This window comes from Homo sapiens, chromosome 19 (assembly GCF_000001405.40).
Source record: "Homo sapiens chromosome 19, GRCh38.p14 Primary Assembly".
Classification (NCBI taxonomy): domain Eukaryota; kingdom Metazoa; phylum Chordata; class Mammalia; order Primates; family Hominidae; genus Homo; species Homo sapiens.
The window spans coordinates 19,664,074-19,683,995 of NC_000019.10; the positions used below are offsets into that span (position 1 = coordinate 19,664,074).

At 47.3% G+C, this 19,922-nt stretch overlaps 1 protein-coding gene across 5 annotated transcripts, besides 5 other annotated features; it reads left to right on the forward strand.

Annotated features, from left to right (window-relative positions):
- Positions 40–89: a silencer, noted in NCBI's record as "silent region_10455". NCBI's record gives its function as "represses an Ori minimal core promoter by ATAC-STARR-seq in GM12878 lymphoblastoid cells {active_cell/tissue: GM12878}" and the evidence as "EXISTENCE:reporter gene assay evidence [ECO:0000049][PMID:35858748]".
- Positions 4,080–19,433, forward strand: ZNF101 (zinc finger protein 101). Of its 5 annotated transcripts, XM_047439722.1 has the most exons (5): positions 4,766–4,893; positions 11,110–11,227; positions 13,791–13,917; positions 14,653–14,713; positions 15,108–19,433. In XM_047439722.1, the coding sequence occupies exons 2-5, from the start codon at positions 11,126–11,128 to the stop codon at positions 16,225–16,227; spliced, it is 1,410 nt and encodes a 469-aa protein (XP_047295678.1). In that variant the 5' UTR covers positions 4,766–4,893; positions 11,110–11,125; the 3' UTR covers positions 16,228–19,433. The 5 variants fall into 5 exon arrangements, with proteins under 5 accessions (XP_047295679.1, NP_001287878.1, XP_047295678.1 ...); XM_047439723.1 differs by lacking the exons at positions 4,766–4,893; positions 11,110–11,227 and adding an exon at positions 4,080–4,134; NM_001300949.2 differs by lacking the exons at positions 4,766–4,893; positions 11,110–11,227 and adding an exon at positions 4,080–4,134 and having other exon boundaries at positions 13,791–13,913.
- Positions 4,455–5,021: an enhancer, noted in NCBI's record as "OCT4-NANOG-H3K27ac-H3K4me1 hESC enhancer chr19:19779337-19779903 (GRCh37/hg19 assembly coordinates)". NCBI's record gives its function as "activates a minimal SCP1, AML or CMV promoter by ChIP-STARR-seq in naive H9 embryonic stem cells {active_cell/tissue: H9 hESC(naive)}" and the evidence as "EXISTENCE:reporter gene assay evidence [ECO:0000049][PMID:30033119]".
- Positions 4,976–5,175: a silencer, noted in NCBI's record as "silent region_10456". NCBI's record gives its function as "represses an Ori minimal core promoter by ATAC-STARR-seq in GM12878 lymphoblastoid cells {active_cell/tissue: GM12878}" and the evidence as "EXISTENCE:reporter gene assay evidence [ECO:0000049][PMID:35858748]".
- Positions 4,976–5,587: a biological region, named in NCBI's record as "NANOG-H3K27ac-H3K4me1 hESC enhancer GRCh37_chr19:19779904-19780469".
- Positions 5,022–5,587: an enhancer, noted in NCBI's record as "NANOG-H3K27ac-H3K4me1 hESC enhancer chr19:19779904-19780469 (GRCh37/hg19 assembly coordinates)". NCBI's record gives its function as "activates a minimal SCP1, AML or CMV promoter by ChIP-STARR-seq in naive H9 embryonic stem cells {active_cell/tissue: H9 hESC(naive)}" and the evidence as "EXISTENCE:reporter gene assay evidence [ECO:0000049][PMID:30033119]".
- Positions 19,434–19,922: the final 489 nt, after the last annotated feature.

Below are 19,922 nucleotides of genomic sequence, written 5' to 3' on the forward strand. Positions count from 1 at the left end.
TTCAGGAGGCGGGGCCCGGTGCGGGGGGCGGGGCTTGTGAGGGGCGGGGTCGGGGACCGCCCCGGAACACAACCACACCGGACAAGAGCCTTAATGTGATAGATAAGAATTACAAATACTAGCCGGGCGCGGTGGCTCACGCCTGTAATCCCAACACTTTGGGAGGCGAGGCGGGTGGATCACCTGAGATCAGGAGTTCAAGACCCAACATGGTGAAACCACGTCTCTACTAAAAATACAAAAATTAGCCGGGCGTGGTGGCACATGCCTGTAATCCCAGCTACTCGGGAGGATGAGGCAGGAGAATTGCTTGAGCCCGGGAGACGGAGGTTGCAGTGAGCCAAGATTGCTCCACTGCACTTCAGCCTGGCCAACAGAGCAAGACTGTCTCAAAAAAAAAAAAAAGAAAAATGAATTACAAAAACCACTTTAGGCCGGGCGCGGTGGCTCACGCCTGTAATCCCAGCACTTTGGGAGGCCGAGGTCAGGAGATCGAGACCATCCTGGCTAACGCGGTGAAACCCCGTCTCCACTAAAAATACAAAAAAAAAAAAAAAATTCTCCGGGCGTGGTGGCGGGCGCCTGTAGTCCCAGCTACTCCGGAGCCTGAGGCAGAATGGCGCGAACTGGAGAGGCAGAGCTTGCAGTGAGCGGAGATTGTGCCACTGCCCTCCAGCCTGGGCGACAGAGCGAGACTCTGTCTCCAAAAAAAAAAAAAAAAAAAAAAAGAAATTACCACTTTAACATAAAAAATGAAAAACTGGTGTTTACTTGAAATTATATACTTCTAGGCCGGGCGCGGTGGCTCACCCCTGTAATTCCAGCACTTTGGGAGGCCGAGGCGGGCGGATCACGAGTTCAGGAGATCGAGACCGTCCTGGCTAACACAGTGAAACCCCGTCTCTACTAAAAATACAAAAAATTAGCCGGGCGTGGTTGCAGGCGCCTGTAGTCCCAGCTACTCGGGAGGCTGAGGCAGGAGAATGGCCTGAACCTGGGAGGCGGAGCTTGCAGTGAGCCGAGATCGCGCCACTGCACTCCAGCCTGGGCGACAGAGCGAGACTCTGTCTGAAAAAAAAAAAAAAAAGAAATTATATAGTTCTATATTATTAACTGTACTGTTGCATAAATGCTATTTGAACAAAACCACAATAGGACTACTTAACAGTACCAATTAGTAGGATTAAACAGTATGTGTGACAAACAGTAACTATTTTATGTTTCTTTTTGTCCTCTGATACAGCAAATTTATTTAAACTTAAAATTTATTGGATATTTAAATTTTGTAGCTTATATTGTTGCATATTCTTTTTTTAATTTTTCGAGATGAAGTCTCACTCTGTCGCCCAGGCTGGAGTGCAGTGGCGCGATGTCCGCTCACTGCAAACTCCACTTTCCGAGTTCAATCGATTCTCCCATTTCAGCCTCCCAAGTAACTGGGATTACAGGCGCATGCCACCGCTCCGGCTAATTTTTGTACTTTTTTTTTTAGACGGAGTCTCACTCTGTTGCCCAGGCTGGAGTGCGGTGGTGCGATCTCAGCTCACTGCAACCTACGCCTCCTGGGTTCCAGCGGTTCTCCTGCCTCAGCCTCCCGGGTAGCTGGGACTACAGGCGCGTGCCACCATGCCTGGCTAATTTTTTGTATTTTCAGTAGAGATGGGGTTTCACTATGTTGGCCAGGTTGGTCTCGAACTCCTGACCTTGTGATCCGCCCACTTTGGTCTCCCAAAGTGCTAGGATTACAGGTGTGAGCCAGCGCTCCCAGTCTAATGTTTTGTGTTTTTAGTAGAGACGGGTTTCGCCATGTTGGCCAGTCTGGTCTCAAACTCATGGCCTCTAATGATCTGGCCGCCTCAGTCTCCCAAAGTGCTAGGATTACAGGTGTGAGCCACGGTGCCCAGTCCTAGTCTTGTTTTGTTTTCTTGGGACGGAGTCTCACTCTTGCCCAAGCTGGAGTGCAGTGTTGCAATCTAGGCTCACTGCAACCTCTGCCTCTTGGGTTCAAATGATTCTCCTGCCTCAGCCTCCTTAGTAGCTGGAATTACAGGCATGAACCACCATGCCTGCTAATTTTTGTATTTTTAGGAGAGACAGGGTTTCACCATGTTGGCCAGGCTGGTCTGGAACTCCTGTCCTGGCCTCAAGAGATCTGCCTGCCTCGACTTCCCAAAGTGCTACAGGTGTGACCCGCTGCGGCCACCCACTGCATATTCTGGTTTTTTTTTTTTTTTTTTTTTTTGAGACGGAGTCTCACTCTGTTGTCAGGCTGGAGGCTGGAGTGCAGTGGCGTGATCTCAGCTCACTGCAACCTCTGCCCTCGGAGTTCAAGCGATTCTCCTGCCTCAGCCTCCCGAGTAGCTGGGATTACAGGCGCCTGCCACTGCACCCAGCTAATTTTTTGTATTTTTAGTAGAGACGGGGTTTCACCTTCTTGGCCAGGCTGAGTCTTGAACTCCTGACCTCGTAATCCACCCGCCTCGGACTCCCAAAGTGCTGGGATTACAGGCGTGAGCCACCGGGCCCGGCTCTGGTTTTTTTTTTTTTTTTTTTTTTTTTTTTTTTTTTTTTTTTTTTGAGATGGAGTCATGCTCTGTCGCCCAGGCGCAATGCTGTGATCTCGGCTCACTGCAACCTCCTCCTCCTGGGTTCAAGCAGTTCTCCTGCCTCAGCCTTCTTAGTAGCTAGGATTACAGGCATGCGCCACCACACCTGGCTAATTTTTGTAATTTTAGTAGAGACGGTGTTTCACCATGTTGGGCAGGCTGGTCTCCTACTCCTGACCTCATGATCCGCCTGCCTGGGCCTCCCAGAGTGCTGGGATTACAGGCTGAGCCACCGTGCCCGGCTGCATATTATTAAGATACATGACTTCGTAAAAGGAGAAAGGAAATGTAATAGGACTTAATAATCACATAGTATCAAATAAGATAATCTTCAGTAAAAATAGGAATGACATGTTTCTGTCCCATGATACAGTTCGATATACTTACTTTTTCAGTTTTTTCTCCAATATTAATTCTTTCCCATACAAGGTCCAAGCTTCTGCTCTTGGAGTCTGGGACTGGACCCCTTTCTGGTAGCAATACCTTTATAGAATGTTTACTCCAGGCCGGGCACGGTGGCTCATGCCTGTAATCCCAGCACTTTGGGAGGCCAAGGCGGGCAGATCACGAGTTCAGGAGATCGAGACCATCCTGGCTAACACGGTGAAACCCCGTCTCTACTAAAAATACAAAAAAAAAAAAAAAAAAAAAAAATTGGCCGGGCATGGTGGCACATGCCTGTAGTTCCAGCTACTCGGACTCGGGAGGCTGAGGCAAGAGAATCTCTTGAACCTGGGAGGCAGAGGTTGCAATGAGCTGAGATCGTGCCACTGCACTCCAGCCTGGGCGACAGAGCCAGACTCCGTCTCAAAAAAAAAGAAAAAAAAAGTGGTTTACTCCAGTTTTTCCCTGCATTTAATAATTTTGTTCCCTTTAAGGCATGTTTTTATTTTCTTGGCTGAAAAGGAGTAGCCTGAGAAGAAGTAACGTGTAGGAAGCCTTGGCCATGGGACCAATAGCCTCATAAATTCCTGATCTCTGGAGGACATCAGGGCCTCCTACCTGTTCCATTGTGACCTGGGAGTCTCTCCAGCTCCAAGGTGGAGGGATGGCTTCACTGAACACGGAGTCTGGAATTCCGTGCACACTCATGTGACCGGTGTTCCGGAAAAAGAAGCAGGAGGCGGCTGGGCGCGGTGGCTCACGCCTGTAATCCCAGCACTTTGAGAGGCCGAGGCCGGCGGATCACGAGATCAGGAGTTCGAGACCAGCCTGGCCAACATGGTGAAACCCCATTTCTACTAAAAATACAAAAATTAGCCGGGAGTGGTGGTGGGCGCCTGTAATCGCAGCTACCCGGGAGGCTGAGGCAGGAGAATCGCTTGAAACCGGAAAGCGGAGGTTGCAGTTAGCTGAGATCGTGCCATTGCATTCCAGCCTGGGCAACAAGAGCGAAACTCCGTCTCAAAAAAAAAAAAAAAAAGCAGCAGGAAGGACCCACTGAGTACAGGAAGCCGACAGGGCCTGCTCCGGAAAACCAGGAGCTGTAAGGTCAGCCGAAAGGACGAAGAGACCTGAAGTCAGTCAAGTAAGTTTTATTAACCTGCTGGGCTGCTCCCCCACAGTTAGAGGAGGCAGCCCCGCTTACAGACTACAGCAGGGCTTTATAGGGCGAGGAACTGGGCTGGGGTGTGAGAACTGAGTCGGGGGTGCAGGTGTCCTGACCGCATCCTGGAGATGTTTTTGCCAGCTTTGTTATGCAAGGTGGGCAGGTGTTGTGACCGCATCCTGGAACTGTCTGCCGGTTCAGCTGAAGTCTTTTGAACAAACAGTTACTGGAAGGGTCAGTGGGGAGGAGGTCTACTTCTAGCCCGGGGGGAGTTGTGTGGCGGTCACAAAGGACTGTATTGTAAGACTGATGGGGGAAGGAGGGGAACAGTCTGGTTGGGTTGACCCTAACGGGAGCAAGTTCTGCTTCCATGCAAGTCCAGGTCCAAGGTCCCAGCGAGGGGCTGTGGGTAGCACCTGTCAGTCACACCCCACACAGCGAGCGGATTATTTGAGGATTCCGATCACCTCTCCTGTCGCTCAAGCCCCAGGGGCGGGACCTGGGGCACCAGCCAGTCAGAGGCGCTGTGCGGCAAACTGTCCAATCAGGTGCGCCGGGAGGAGGGGCAACTTCCAAAGCCCGAAGCGGTCTCATTTCCCGCCGGCCCCCCATTCGGGTCCGGGTTTTAGTTCCTCGGGGAGCCCCTGGTGCCCCGGATACGGCTGATTTTGTCGTGTGGGACCTGTTCTGGCTGCTCCAGCCCCAGGAAGGACCCAGGACACCCGGAAGCCGGAAATGGTGAGCGTGCGGAGCCGGGCGTCCGGAGACCTGAGGAGGAGCTGGTCGGAACCGGCAGTGGCTGGACCTGGGCCTCCCCGCGGCGACTGTGGGGGTCTGGGACCCGAGTCCCCCAGGCGCAGCTCGACCCTTGGTCCCCTCGGTCGCCGGGTGGAGCTGGACCAGCCGCCGGGACCCCGGGTGTCCTGTCCCGGCCCCGGAGCCCTCTCAGGGCAGCTCCGCGCCCGCAGCCCCGCGTCTCCCCAGATCGTGCGGGGGCCTCAGGAGGGTCTTAGGGGGAATCCCGCCTCGGGTGTGGGGTTCGTGCGGGAGGAGCCGTGGCCTGTGGGGTCCCCAGTTCCTCCTCCCTTAGGCGGTCCCCGTTTCCTTCGGAGTCTTCCAAAGGTGTGGGAAGCTGGGTTTCAAACCCACGACCCCGTCCCCCAGCTTCGCTCCTCCCAGGGCTGCAGTAAATCCCTAAATTTCCCCGCATTCCCCAACCCTAAGTTCTCCCTCCAGTACATCCACTTCACATTATTATTATTATCATTATTTCTATTATTTTTGAGACGGAGTCTCACTCTGTCGCCCAGGCTGGAGTGCAGTGGCACTGTCTGGGCTCACTGCAGCCTCCGTCTTCCGGGTTCAAGTGATTCTCCTGCCTCAGCCTCCTGAGTAGCTGGAATTACAGGTGCCCGCCACCACGTCCGGCTAACTTGTATTTTCAGTAGAGACAGGTTCACCATGTTGGCCGTGCTGAAGTCCTGATCTCAGGTATCTGCCTGCCTCGGTCTCCCAAAGTGCTGGGATTACAGGCTTGAGCCACTGCGCCTGGCAAGACCCAGTGTTTTAACTGTCATCTTTTCCAAGGAGCCCTAGATGGCACTTCTTAAAAAGTTCATTTTCCGTTTGTGAACATTTCACATGCGAGCAAAGCAGAAAATAACCCCCTGACACTCCGATGTTAAAAAAAAAAAATCACTGTGCCTGCCCTCTTTTTACCTTCCCTAGGCGCGGCCACCTTATCAGACAGTCTTTGGGTGGAGGCTTCTCTTGGGAACTTCACAGGGTATTGGGTCCTCAGCCCACCCTCCTATCTTTCTGGTCCTGGGTTTCAGGACCGTCCAGGGACTTCTTCCAGCTGCCCTCGGAAGAACGGGTGAAAAGTCTGTCCTGGCGTGGTTAATCTTTCCTGGTTGTTTGATGAGCCTCCTAGGGAGGAGTTCTTGTCTTTTGAAAAGAAGTTTCCTTAGGAAATTCCAGAGGGATTCCCTGCTGGCCCTTGGGGGTGGGGTGGGGCCAGAAACAGTAGAAAGAAACTTCTCCCTTCTGAGGCAGCTCAGGGTGGCATGCAGTGGCACAGTCATGGCTTACTACGGCCTCAACCTCTGGGGCCCAAGCAATCCTCCTGCCTCAGTCTTCCAAGAAGCTGGGACCACAGGCATGCGCCACGCCCGGCTAGTTTTTATTTTTTGTAGAGACAAGGTCTCACTATGTTGCCCAGTCTGCTCTGGAAGTCAAAAGCGATTCTCCTGCCCAGGTGGCTCACGCCTGTAATTCCAGCACTTTGGGAGGCTGGGGCGGGAAGATCTCTTGAGCCCAGAAGTTTGAGACCATCCTGGGCAAAGTGGCGAGACCCCATTTCTACAACAAATACAAAAATTAGCCGGGTATGGTGGCGCATGCCTGTAGTCTCAGCTACTCAGGAGACTGAGGTGGGAGAGCCACCTGAACCCGGGGAGGTTGAGACTGCCGTTAGCTGTGATTGCGCCACTGCACTGAACGACAGAGTGAGACCCTGTCTTTAAAAAAAAAAAAGGAAATCTTCCATTATGGCTGCAGAATATGAATACATTCCCACAAAAAAAAGGCATGGTAGGTCGGGCGCGATGGCTCACGCCTGTAATCCCAACACTTTGGGAGGCAGAGGCAGGCAGATCACGAGGTCAGGAGATCGAGACCATCCTGGCTAACACGGGGAAACCCCGTCTCTACTAAAAATACAAAAAAATTAGCCAGGCGTGGTGGCGAGCGCCTGTAGTCCCAGATATTCTGGAGGCTGAGGCAGGAGAATGGCGTGAATCCGGGAGGCGGAGCTTGCAGTGAGCTGGAGATCGCGCCACTGCACTCCAGCCTGCGCGACAGAGCGAGACTCCATCTCAAAAAATACATAATAAAAAAAGGCATGGTAGATAAGCAGAAATTAGTGATTTACAAAGATTCACCAGCACATCAGCTCCTCTCCTTTGCAGGTTGGGGAATTTGTGATGGTGGATAACTCTGTTCTGTTTTGTGTTATCTGGATTTGACAGATTAACGCTGAATCCTTTGGGATAAGTTTGGCAACATCTAGAAGTAGTCAGATATGATCTTTTGTTTACTGAATAGTTTATTATGGAAAAAATACTGAATGACATCTGAAAGTGATAGATACTCATCTCTTTTCCTAAGGATACTAATCTGTACTCCTAGGTCTCTCTCATGATCTCATGTAATCCCAGTTATTTCCCAGAGTTGCTGCCCGTAATATTAATACCATCACCTTAGGTGTTAGGATTTTTTTTTTTTTTTTGAGACAGAGTCTTGCTCTGTCGCCCAGGCTGGAGTGCAGTGGCGCGATCTCGGCTCACTGCAAGCTCCGCCTCCCGGGTTCACGCCATTCTCCTGCCTCTGCCTCCCGAGTAGCTGGGACTACAGGTGCCCGCCATTACGCCCGGCTAATTTTTTGTATTTTTAGTAGAGACGGGGTTTCACCGTGTTAGCCAGGATGGTCTCGATCTCCTGACCTCGTGATCCGCCCGCCTCGGCCTCCCAAAGTGCTGGGATTACAGGCGTGAGCCCCCGTGCCCGGCAGATATTTTTCAACGTATGCTTTTTACATCATAATCATTTTATTCACGAGACATTTTCAGACTTCAAGAAAAATTTCAGTAGGCTTTGTTCTTTTCTAAAAATTGACTTCAACGGCTTGTAACAGCAATTCAAGATGAACTGAGGGCAGGAACACTGGCAAACACCTGTAATTCTAGGTACTTGAGAGGCTGAGGCGGGAGAATCGATTTAGCCCAGGAGTTCAAGTCCAGCCTGGGCAATATAGTGAGACCCCCATCTTAAAAAATGTGTGTGTGTATATATATATATATATAAATTATATGTATGATTATATATATATTTATAAGTTGTATGATTATATATATTTATAAATTTTATGTATGATTATATATATATTTATAAATTTATTTATTTTATTTTTTTACTTTCGAGACAAAGTCTTGCCCTGTTGCCCAGGCTGGAGTGCAATGGTACAATCTTGGCTCACTACAACCTCCGCTAAAGTGATTCTCCTGCCTCAGCCCTCCCCCACGCCCGGTAGCTGAACCCGGTAGCTGAATCCTGAGTAGCTGGGATTACAGGTGCCCTCCACCACACCTAGCTAATTTTTTTTAGCTTTAGTAGAGACAGGGTTTCGCCATGTTGGCCAGGCTGGTCTCGAACTCCTGACCTCATGGTCCTCCTGCGTCGGCCTCCCATAGTGTTGGGATTACAGGCGTGAACCATCACATTCAGCCCTATATGCATTTTAGAACGGGCTTTTTTTTTGGCGGGGGGGGTCTCTGTTGCCCAGGCTGGAGTGCGGTGGCACGATCTCAGCTCATTGCAACCTCTGCCTCCCAGGTTCAAACGATTTTCCTGCCTCAGCCTCCCAAGTACCTGGGATTACAGGCACCTGCCACCACGCCCAGCCAATTTTTTGTATTTTTAGTAGACACGGGGTTTCAACATGTTGGCTAGGCCAGTCTGAAACTCCTGAGCTCAGGCAATCCTCCCACTTCGACCTCCCAAAGTGTTGGGATTATAGGCATGAGCCACTGTGACTGGCTGGTATTTTTATTTCTGAAAAAAGAAAACAAAACAAAAAAAACCAGACATGGGATTTTGATAGGGATTGTATTGAATTTGCAGATCATTTTGGGTAGTAGTACCTTCCAAATAATGTAAAGTCTTTTTTTTTTCTTTGACACAGAGTCTTGCTCTATCACCCAGACTGGAATGCAGTGGCACGGTCTTGACTCACTGCAACCTCCACTTCCTGGTTTCAAGCCATTCTCCTGCCTCAGCCTTCTGAGTAGCTGGGACTACAAGCGCATGCCACCACGCCTGGCTAATTTTTTTTTTTGTATTCTTAGTAGAGATGGGATTTTACCATGTTGGCCAGGCTGGTCTCAAACTCCTGACCTCAGGTGATTTGCCTGCCTTGGCCTCCCAAAGTGGTGGGATTACAGATATGAGCCAATGTGCTGGCTTTTTTTTTTTTTTTTTTTGAATTGGAGTCTTGCTCTGTCGCCGAGGCTGGGGTTCAGTGGCATGATCTCGGCTCACTGCAACCTCCACCTTCTGGGTTCAAGCAGTTCTTCTGTCTCAGTCTCCGGAGTAGCTGGGATTACAGGCACGTGCCACCACACCTGGCTAATTTTTGTATTTTCAGTAGAGACAGGGTTTCATCATGTTAGCCAGGCTGGTCTTGAACTCCTGACCTTGTAATCCACCCACCTCGGCCTCCCAAAGTGCTAGGGTTGCAGGCATGAGCCACCGCACCTGGCCAAATAATGTAAAGTCTTCGAACACATGAACACAAGATATTTTTCAATTTGTCTTTAATTTCATTCAGCAACATTTTGTTGTTTTTAGTGTACAAGTAGTCTTTCGACTTCTTGGTTTTGTAATTTCTAAGCGTTCAATTCTTTTTTTTTTTTTTTTTTTTTTTGAGACAGAGTCTCACTCTGTCGCCCAGTCTGGGCTATTTGGTGTCCTGGGTTTTATATTTGTTGAGGCTTTTTAAATTATTATTATTATTATTATTATTTTGAGATGGAGTCTTGCTTTGTTGCCCAGGATGGAGTGCAGTGGTGCGATCTCAGCTCACTGCAACCTCTGTCTCCTGAGTTCAAGCGATTCTCCTGCCTCAGCCTCCCAAGTAGTTGGGATTACAGGTGCCTGCCACCGCGCCCGACTAATTTTTGTATTTTTAGTAGAGACGGGGTTTCACCATCTTGGCCAGGCTGGTCTTGAACTCCTAACCTTTTGATCCACCTGCCTTTGCCTCCCAAAGTGCTGGGATTACAGATGTGAGTCACCGCGCCTGGCCTATTCAATTCTTTTTGGTGCTATTGTTTGTGGTATTGTTTTCTTAATTTCTTTTTCACATTATTCAGTTTTGGTGCATATAAATGTAGCTGACTTTTTTGGTCTTGAGACAGTCTACCTCTGTTGCCCAGACTGGAGTACAATGGTGTGATCTCAGCTCACTGCAACCTCTGCCTCCTGGGTTCAAGTGATTCTCCTGCCTTAGCCTCTCGAGTAGCTGGGACTACAGGTGTGGGCTACCACACCTGGCTGATTGTGTATTTTTAGTAGAGATGGGGTTTCACCATGCTGGTCAGGCTGGTCTTGAACTTCTCACCTCAAGTGATCTACTCGCCTCGACCTCCCGAAGTGCTGGGATTACAGGCGTGAGCCACCGCACCCAGCCCCATTGTTTTTCATATTTGAACCATCCTTGCATTTTGCGGATAAATCTCTCTTGATGATGTCATATAATCCTTTAAATATGCTGTCAGGTATGATTTGCTAGCATTTATTTGAGGATTTTTTGCATTGATATTCATAAAGGGCATTTGTAGTTTTGTTTTTTGTAGTGTCTGTCTTTGGTGTCAGCATAATTTTGACCTCATAGAGGGAGTTTGGAAATGTCCCCTCTTCAGTTTTGGAAGAGTTTGAGGAGGATTGATAGCAATTCTTTTTTAAATTTTTGGTGGATTTCAGCAGTGAAACTATTTGGTGTCCTGGGTTTTGTATTCGTTGAGGTTTTTAAAATTATTATTATTATTATTTTGAGATGGAGTCTCGTTTTGTCGCCCAGGATGGAGTGCAGTGGCGCCATCTCGGCTCACTGCAACCTCTGCCTCCCAGGTTCATGCCATTGTCCTGCCTCAACCTCCCCAGTAGCTGGGACTACAGGTGCCTGCCTCCATGCCAGCCTACTTTTTTGCGTTTTTAGTAGAGACGGGGTTTCACCGTGTTAGCCAGGATGGTCTCAATTTCCTGACCTTGTGATCCACCCTCCTCTGCCTCCCAAAGTGCTGAGGTTACAGGCATGAGCCACCGCGCCCAGCCAATTTATTATTTTTCTTAATTTATTTTATTTTTTTGAGATGGAGTTTCACTCTTGTTGCCCAGGCTGGAGTGTAATGGCATGATCTCGGCTCACTGCAACCTCCGCCTCCCGGGTTCATGGGATTCTCCTGCCTCTGCCTCCCAAGTAGCTGGGATTACCGGCGTCCACCACCATGCCCAGGTAATTTTTTGTATTTTTAGTAGAGACGGAGTTTCACCATGTTGGCTAGCCTGTCTCGAACTCCTGACTTAAGGGGATCCACCCACCTTGGCCTCCCAAAGTGCTGGGATTACAGGCATGAGCCACCGTGCCTGGCTATTTTTTTTTTATTACTATGCCAATCTCCTGCTACTACAGCTCTGTTCAGATTTTTTGTTTTTTCATGACTCAGTCTTGGTATATTGTGTATGTGTAGACATTTGTCCACGTAATCAGTTATATAATTTACTGAAGTATTCTAAAGGACTTCTGAAATTAAGCCTGAGTTGTACAGTTTTTTGTCCTCTGCTGTATGTATGTATTCTGCTGCTGTTGCTGTGAGTGTAAGGGGTGAGGTGAGGGGAATCATTCTATTGACCTATGACTTAGCCTCATTTAAAGATAATAGGCCGGGCACAGTGGCTTATGCGTGTAGTCCCAGCACTTTCAGAGGCGAAGGTGGGCAGATCGCTTTAGCCCAGGAGTTTGAGAGGAGCCTGGGCAACACAGGGAGAGCCTATCTCTACAAAAAATACAAAAATTAGCTGGGTGTGGTGGTGCCCACCTGTAGTAGGGAACAAGGTGGGATGATCACTTGAGCCTGGGAGGTTAAGACTGCAGGGGCCATGATTGTACCACTGCACTCTAGTCTGGACAACAGAGTGAGATCCTATCTCAAAAAATATTATATCAATCTTTATTTATTTATTTATTTGGAGACAAAGTGTCACTCTGTCACCCAGGCTGGAGTGCAGTAACACAATCCTAGCTCACTGCAACCTTGAATTCCTGGGCTCAAGCAATCCTCCTGCCTTAACTTCCCAAGTAGCTAGGACCACAGACACCTGCTAACATACCCTGCTAATGTTTTTAAAAAATTTTTCTAGAGGTGGCTATAACTTTTAATTTTTTTGTTTTTTGAGGTGGAGTCTTGCTCTGTTGCCCAGGCCCACCATGCCAGGCTAATTTTTCTATTTTTAATAGAGACCAGTTTTCACTATGTAGGCCAGGCTGGTCTTTAACTCCTGACCTCAAGTGGTCCACCCTACTACTCTACATGCCTGCTCTGTTATTAACCAAGTTTTCATATGAATACTGGCCCATTGAAGACTCTTCTTTTTCCTTGATCTATTTGTTTATCTCTCTGCTAATAGTATGCTGTCCTGAATGTGATGGTTTGGAAATCTTTGGTGTTAGGTAAGCCATCCACCTGCTATTCAGAAGGCTTTGACAATTATTAGATGTTAATTCCTGCACACCAGGTGGTGGGAGGTTTGGAAAAGTAGCTTTTGTTTACCTAAAATGTCTGTTTTGGGGATTTTTTTTTTTTTTTGAGACGGCGTCTCGCTCTGTTGCCCAGGCTGGAGTGCAGTGGCATGATCTCAGCTGACTGTAATCTCCGCTTCCTGGGTTCAAGTGATTCTTCTGTCTCAGCCTCCCAAATAGCTGGGACTACAGGCATGCGCCATCACGCCTGGCTAATTTTTTGTATTTTTAGTAGAGATGGGGTTTCACCATGTTGGCCAGGCTGGTCTCAAACTCCTGTCCTCAAGTGATCCACCTGCCTCGGCCTCCCAAAGTGCTGGGATTACAGGTGTGAGTCACCACACCCAGCTGTATTGGGTATTTATGAAATTTTGTAAGGATATCATTTGGAAGAAGGGACATCTTATTGAGTTTTTTCTAGGAACACATGTTATCTTTCCACTTACTCCATACTGCTTTGACATTACCTGACAGAAATTTTAAAATTCTTCCATTAGGACAATTAAATATTGATCATGAATCTTATTTACTACTTGATTAAATTTGGTCTAGAGTAAACTGCTTGCAAGCTTCAGGATATTCTCTCTTGGTATAACCACATGGGATGAGCTCAGTTCCCCAGGGGACAAGTTGTGACAACACGTGTGACATATTGTCTCCCAGGAAAGCTCATTAAAGACTCTGTGCCCAGAGTGTTTTTCTGGGGCTAGTGCCCTAGGCACCACTTCTAGTTTGGAACAAAAGAGTAGGCTTTCAGAAGGAAAACAGTTCAGTCAGTACCATCCTGTTTGTCAATACCATAAACCGTTTAGCCACAGTAAGCCACTTTGTCACTTAAGTTGATGGGATCCCTCTCGTAGTCTAAGTTGACCCCGATAGTAGCAAAGGTCGAACTTGGTAAACAGGCCTTTCTAAGGATACCCAGACTCAGGACTGCTGAAATGAGCGCTGTCTGCACACCAGGTGGTGGGAGTTTGTTGTGACAGGTACTAGAGATTCACTCTGCAAAGAGCATTTGGGGCAACGCAGCAGCACAACTGACTCCCTGGACCCACCACAGAGAGGGTGGTCCTCCTCTGTGGCTGGCTCTCTGAGTAGGTCAGTTCTCACACTGGAACTGCTGCGAGGGAGGAAGTGCGTGTAGATAGGAGGAGGCCGATGACTCAATCATGGAGTGAGTGTTTGGAGAGCCCGGCGTCATGGGATCACTCATGTATTGAGTAGAGATCCCCAGTGCTGAGTCTCACCCCTCCTCCTCCACACCTGTGGGATGTTTCAGGACTCAGTGGCCTTTGAGGATGTGGCTGTGAACTTCACCCAGGAGGAGTGGGCTTTGCTGAGTCCTTCCCAGAAGAATCTCTACAGAGATGTGACGCTGGAAACCTTCAGGAACCTGGCCTCGGTCGGTAAGAAGGACATTTCCTTCCTTAGTCAATTAGAAGACAAGTGTGTTTTGGTCACCAGTGTGGTTGCACAGTTTGGAATGTGGAAAGAGAATACGTTGGTGAATAAATGGGGCATCGTGGGCCAGGTACAGTGGCTTACCCTTGTAATCCTAGTGCTTTGGGAAGCCACGGTGGGAAGATTGCTTGCGTCCAGGAGTTTGAGACCAGCCTGGGCAACATGATGAGACCCTGTCTCTTTAAAAAAAAAAAAAAAAAGTGGGGGGTGGGCAATTGTGGCAGCTCATGCCTATAATCCCAGCACTTTGGGATAATGTTGAGATAATGTTGAGAAATGCAGAAGTATTGCTGGGTGTGATGGCTCCTGCCTGTAATCCCAGCACTTTGGGAGGCTGAGGCAGGTGGATCACCTGAGGTCAAGAGTTTGAGACCAGCCTGGTCAACATGGCGAAACCTCATCTCTACTAAAAATACAAAATTAGCTGGGTGTGGTAGTGCATACCTGTAATCCCAGCTACTCGGGAGGCTGAGGCAGGAGAATCACTAGAACTCAGGAGGCGGAGGCTGCAGTGAGCAGAGATTGCATCACTGCACTCCAGCCTGGGTGGCAGAGTGAGACTTTGTCTCCAAAAAAAAAAAAAAATCAGGCATTGTGGCAGTGTTTAATGAACTTAGAACCTAGTGATTTTTCTGTAATTTTAAATAATTCATAATAATTTCTCTGGGTCTACATTTTAGGAATCCAATGGAAAGACCAGGACATTGAGAATCTGTACCAAAACCTGGGGATTAAGCTAAGGTAATCTCCACTCACAAGAGGAAGCAGTGTCTCTTGAGGGAATCTTAGTAGGTCAGGAAAATTTTTAAAAAAATACAAGACAAATAAGTACAATGTTAGGTTTTTAACTGATTATTAGAAGATTGCTACCAAAAATCTATCCTTCAATGTAATGTAGATGTTGAGTGTCTGGACAGGGTACTAAGAATCTGTGACATGGATGTCACTGTTTGGATAACTGCTATGGGGAGCTGGGTAGCAGAATCATCAATACACTTCCTTTCTAATAATTCTGACCCAGGAGAAAACCTCCACTTTTCCTGATTTTGGTAGCAGCATAAGTCTTAAGACATGTCAATTAGTAGAAAAGCATTAATAAACCAAGCATTGATAATGCGTTTGTCATTTTTCATAGAAGTCTGGTGGAGAGACTCTGTGGACGTAAAGAAGGGAATGAACACAGAGAAACTTTCAGCCAGATTCCTGATTGTCACCTGAACAAGAAAAGTCAAACTGGAGTGAAACCATGCAAATGCAGCGTGTGTGGGAAAGTCTTCCTCCGTCATTCATTCCTGGACAGGCACATGAGAGCTCATGCTGGACACAAACGATCTGAGTGTGGTGGGGAATGGAGAGAGACGCCCCGTAAACAGAAACAACATGGGAAAGCCTCCATTTCCCCCAGTAGTGGTGCACGGCGCACAGTAACACCAACTCGAAAGAGACCTTATGAATGCAAGGTGTGCGGGAAAGCCTTTAATTCTCCCAATTTATTTCAAATCCATCAAAGAACTCACACTGGAAAGAGGTCCTATAAATGTAGGGAAATAGTGAGAGCCTTCACAGTTTCCAGTTTCTTTCGAAAACATGGAAAAATGCATACTGGAGAAAAACGCTATGAATGTAAATACTGTGGAAAACCTATCGATTATCCCAGTTTATTTCAAATTCATGTTAGAACTCACACTGGAGAAAAACCTTACAAATGTAAACAATGTGGTAAAGCCTTCATTTCCGCAGGTTACCTTCGGACACATGAAATCAGATCTCACGCGCTGGAGAAATCCCACCAATGTCAGGAATGTGGGAAAAAACTCAGTTGTTCCAGTTCCCTTCACAGACATGAAAGAACTCATAGTGGAGGAAAACTCTACGAATGTCAAAAATGTGCCAAAGTCTTTAGATGTCCCACGTCCCTTCAAGCACATGAAAGAGCTCACACTGGAGAAAGACCTTATGAATGTAATAAATGTGGTAAAACCTTCAATTATCCCAGTTGTTTTCGAAGACATAAAAAAACTCATAGTGGAGAAAAGCCATATGAATGTACAAGGTGTGGTAAAGCCTTTGGGTGGTGCAGTTCCCTCCGAAGACATGAAATGACTCACACTGGAGAAAAACCCTTTGATTGTAAACAGTGTGGTAAAGTCTTTACTTTTTCAAATTACCTTAGACTTCATGAAAGAACTCATTTGGCCGGGCGTAGCCAGTGCTTTGGCAGGAGGCAGGGGGATCACCTGAGCCCAGGAGTTTGAGACCAGCCTGGGCAACATAAGAAGGCCCCATATCGGCTGGGTACGGTGGCTCACGCTTGTAATCCCAGCACTTTGGGAGGCTGAGGCGGGTGGATCACCTGAGGTCAGGAGTTCAAGACTAGCCTGGCCAACATGGTGAAACCCCGTCTCTACTAAAAATACAAAAAAATTAACTGGGCATGGTGGTGGGCACCTGTAATCTCAGCTACTCGGGAGGCCGAGGCAGGAGAATCGCTTGAACCTGGGAGGTGGAGGTTGCAGTGAGCCGAGATCACGCCATTGCACTCCAGCCTGGGCGACAAAAGTGAGACTCCATCACACACACACACAAAAAAGCCCCATATCACGTGGTGGCTCATGCCTGTAAAACCAGCACTTTGGGAAGCCGAGGTGGGTGGATCACGAGGTCCAGAGATGGAGACTATCTTGGCCAACATGGTGAAACCCCGTCTCTACTAAAAATACAAAAATTAGCCAGGCGTGGTGGTGTGTGCCTGTAGTCCCAGCTACTCGGGAGGCTGAGGCAGGAGAATTGCTTGAACCAGGGACTTGGAGGTTGCAGTGAGCCGAGATCGCGCCGCTGCACTCCAGCCTGGTGACAGAGCGAGACTTCGTCTCAAAACAAACAAAAAAAAGAAGGCCCCATATCTCCAAAGAAAAAAAAAATTAACTGGGTGAGGTGGTGCATCCCTGTAGTTCTAGCTGCTCAGAAAGCTGAGGTGGGAGGAACCCTTGAGCCTGGGAGGTTGAGGCTGCAGTGAGCTGAGATCGTGCCACTACACTCCAGCCTGGATGACGGTGACACTCTGTCTCAGAAAAAAAGGGAAAGAAATAATTCTCATTTATACAGGAGAGAAATCCTATGAATGTAAGGAATATGGGAATACATTCAGTTTCCAAAGATATGAAAAGACTAACTGGAAAAAAATCCAAAGACCTCAGATATTCCAGTTCTATTCAGAGCCATAAAAGGACTCATACTGGAGAAAAATTGTAGAAATGTACAGAATATGGGGAAACTCTCATTGCTCTCATCTCCATTCAAAGACACGTGTCAGTGCACACTGGAGATGGATGGTATGAATCGAAGAATACACACTGGATGGAAACGTTAGTAGTTTGGAAAATACAGGAAACTTCCATTTTAACAATAATTAAAATTCACATGGGCTGTGCACAGTGGCTCTCCCCTGTAATCCCAGCATTTTGGGAGGCTGGGGTGGGTAGATTGCTTGAGGCCAGGTATTCAAGACCAGCCTGGCAACCTGGAGAAATCCCATGTATACAAAAAATAGAAAAGTTAGCCAGGGATGATGGTGTTCGCCTGTAGTCCCAGCTACTCAGGAAGCTGAGGTGGGAGGATTGCTTGAGTTTGGGAGGTCGAGGTTGCAGTGAGTGGAGATTGCGCCACTGGACTCCAGCCTGGGCAACAGTGAGACCCTGTCTAAAAAAATTAATCATGTGAGAACATCCACTCGAAAGAAATCCTATAAACGTAAGTAATTTTGAAAGCCTGATGCAAATTAATTATTATATAATGCTCAAAAACTTAATCATGAATGAGTTATTACACAAAGTTATAAATATATAGCATTTATCAGTGGCTCATTCTTTTTTCTTTCTTTTTTTTTTTTTTTTTTGAGATGGAGTTTTGCCCTGTCGCCCAGGCTGGAGTGCAGTGGCACAATCTCGGCTCACTGCAACCTCCGCCTCCTGGGTGTGAGCAATTTTCCTGCCTCAGCCTCCTGAGTAACTGGGATTATAAGCACATGCCACCACGCCTGGCTAATTTTTTTGTATTTTTAGTAGAGACGGGGCTTCACCATGTGGTTCAGGCTGGTCTCAGACTCCTGACCTTGTGATCCGCCCTCCTTGGCCTCCCAAAGTGCTGAGATTACAGGTGTGAGCCACCGCGCCTGGCCTTTTTTTTTTTTCCCGAGACACAGTCTCACTCTGTTGCCCAGGCTAGAGTGCAGTGGCGCGATCTTGACTCACTGTAACCTCTGACTTCTGGGTTCAAGCAATTCTCCTGCTTCAGTCTCCGAAGCATCTGGGATTACAGGCGCACGCCACCATGCCCAGCTAAATTTTTGGTATTTTTGTAGAAACAGGGTTTTTCCACATTGGCCAGGCTGGTCTTGAACTCCTGACCTCAAGGAATCCATCCTCTTCAGCCTCGCAAAGTGCTGAGATTATAGGCATGAGACACCTTGCCCGGCCCCTGTGACTCATTCTTAAAAAGGATCTTTGGATTATGGGTTTCCACTTTTGCAAGGAAATGTGAGAATGATACTCTTTAAGCAGTGGTACCTGAGGTTTAATAGGAAGTGTTTTTATCCTAAGTTAGTTAATAAAATTTTTTTCTATCCATTTTGGTTTTCATTTTTTTCTATCCATTTTAAAGTGTTGGATCTGTGGGTGAAGTGAAATTTATTTCTAATATGTAAGCAGGTTTAATTTTTATGTAGTGTTTAATTGTTCTGTGATGAATGGGCCATTACAAAATGAGTCTATTTTTGTTTGTTTTCTTTTGTTTTTGAGACTGAGTCTTGCTCTGTCGCCAGGCTGAAGTGTAGTGGCGCGATCTTGGCTCACTGCAACCTCCACCTCCCGGGTTCAAGTAATCCCCCTGCCTTAGCCTCCTACAGGCGCGTGCCGACATGCCTGGCTAATTTTTTGTATTTTAGTAGAGACGGGGTTTCATTGTACTGGCCAGGATGGTCTTGATTTCCTGACCTTGTGATCCACCCCACCTTGGCCTCCCAAAGTGCTGAGATTACAGGAGTGAGCCACTGCGACCGGCCCATGAGTCTTTATTAATAGAGATTTCTTACTGGTGTTATGTGGCAGATTCTGCATATTCCTCACCCATCATATGTATTCCACTTTCCTTTATTATGGGGAAAACTACTCTTTTTGGCATGATACAATGTTGACTCCATTTTCTTTGCTAATAAGGACTTGGTATCAATTTATCAGTATGTAAAGTTTACCATAGAGTATTGTCTCATGTGAATCATTCCCATTTTTTGCTCTTTACTCTTTGTCGTTATTTCTGAGTATTATTTGGATGGTTCATTTTGACTTAAGGATAGCCCTGTGATATGACAATATTTTTATCTAATCTGATGGAGAAAGCATTTAGTCTCCTGATCAAGTATGATGTTAGCTGCAGGTTTTTAATAAATGCCTTAATTCAGTTTGAAGAAGTTCCCTTCTGTTCATTATTTATTGAGTGTTTCATCAAGTTGTATTGAACTTTTTTGCATCTATTGGGATGATCCCCTTTTTTTTTTTTTGGAAACAAAGTTTCACACTTCTTGCCCAGGCTGGAGTGCAGTGGCACAATCTTGGCTCACTGCAACCTCCGCCTCCCAGGTTCAAGTGATTCTCCTGCCTCAGCCTCCCAAGTAGCTGGGATTACAGGTGCCCTCCACCACGACTGGCTAATTTTTTGTATTTTTAGTACAGGTCAGGTTTCACCATGTTGGCCAGGCTGGTCTCGAACTCCTGACCTCAGGTGATCTGCCCGCCTCAGCCTCCCAAAGATCCTGTGGTGTTTAGTCAGTTTTGCATTGCTGTAAAGCAATGCCTGACACTGGGTAATTTGTAAAGTAGAGATTTCATTGGCTCACGATTCTGCAGGTTATAGAGGAAGCATGGTATCACATCTGCTGGGTTTCTGGTGAGGCCTC

What these genes read in the sequence shown, in the direction of transcription:
- ZNF101 (XM_047439722.1), top strand. Translation starts at nt 11,126, where the DNA reads ATGATCTCGGCTCACTGCAACCTCCGCCTCCCGGGTTCATGGGATTCT. An exon ending in GCGTCCACCACCATGCCCAG is followed by an intron (nt 11,228 to 13,790) that starts GTAATTTTTTGT and finishes GGGATGTTTCAG; the next exon opens with GACTCAGTGGCCTTTGAGGA. An exon ending in AACCTGGGGATTAAGCTAAG is followed by an intron (nt 14,714 to 15,107) that starts GTAATCTCCACT and finishes CATTTTTCATAG; the next exon opens with AAGTCTGGTGGAGAGACTCT.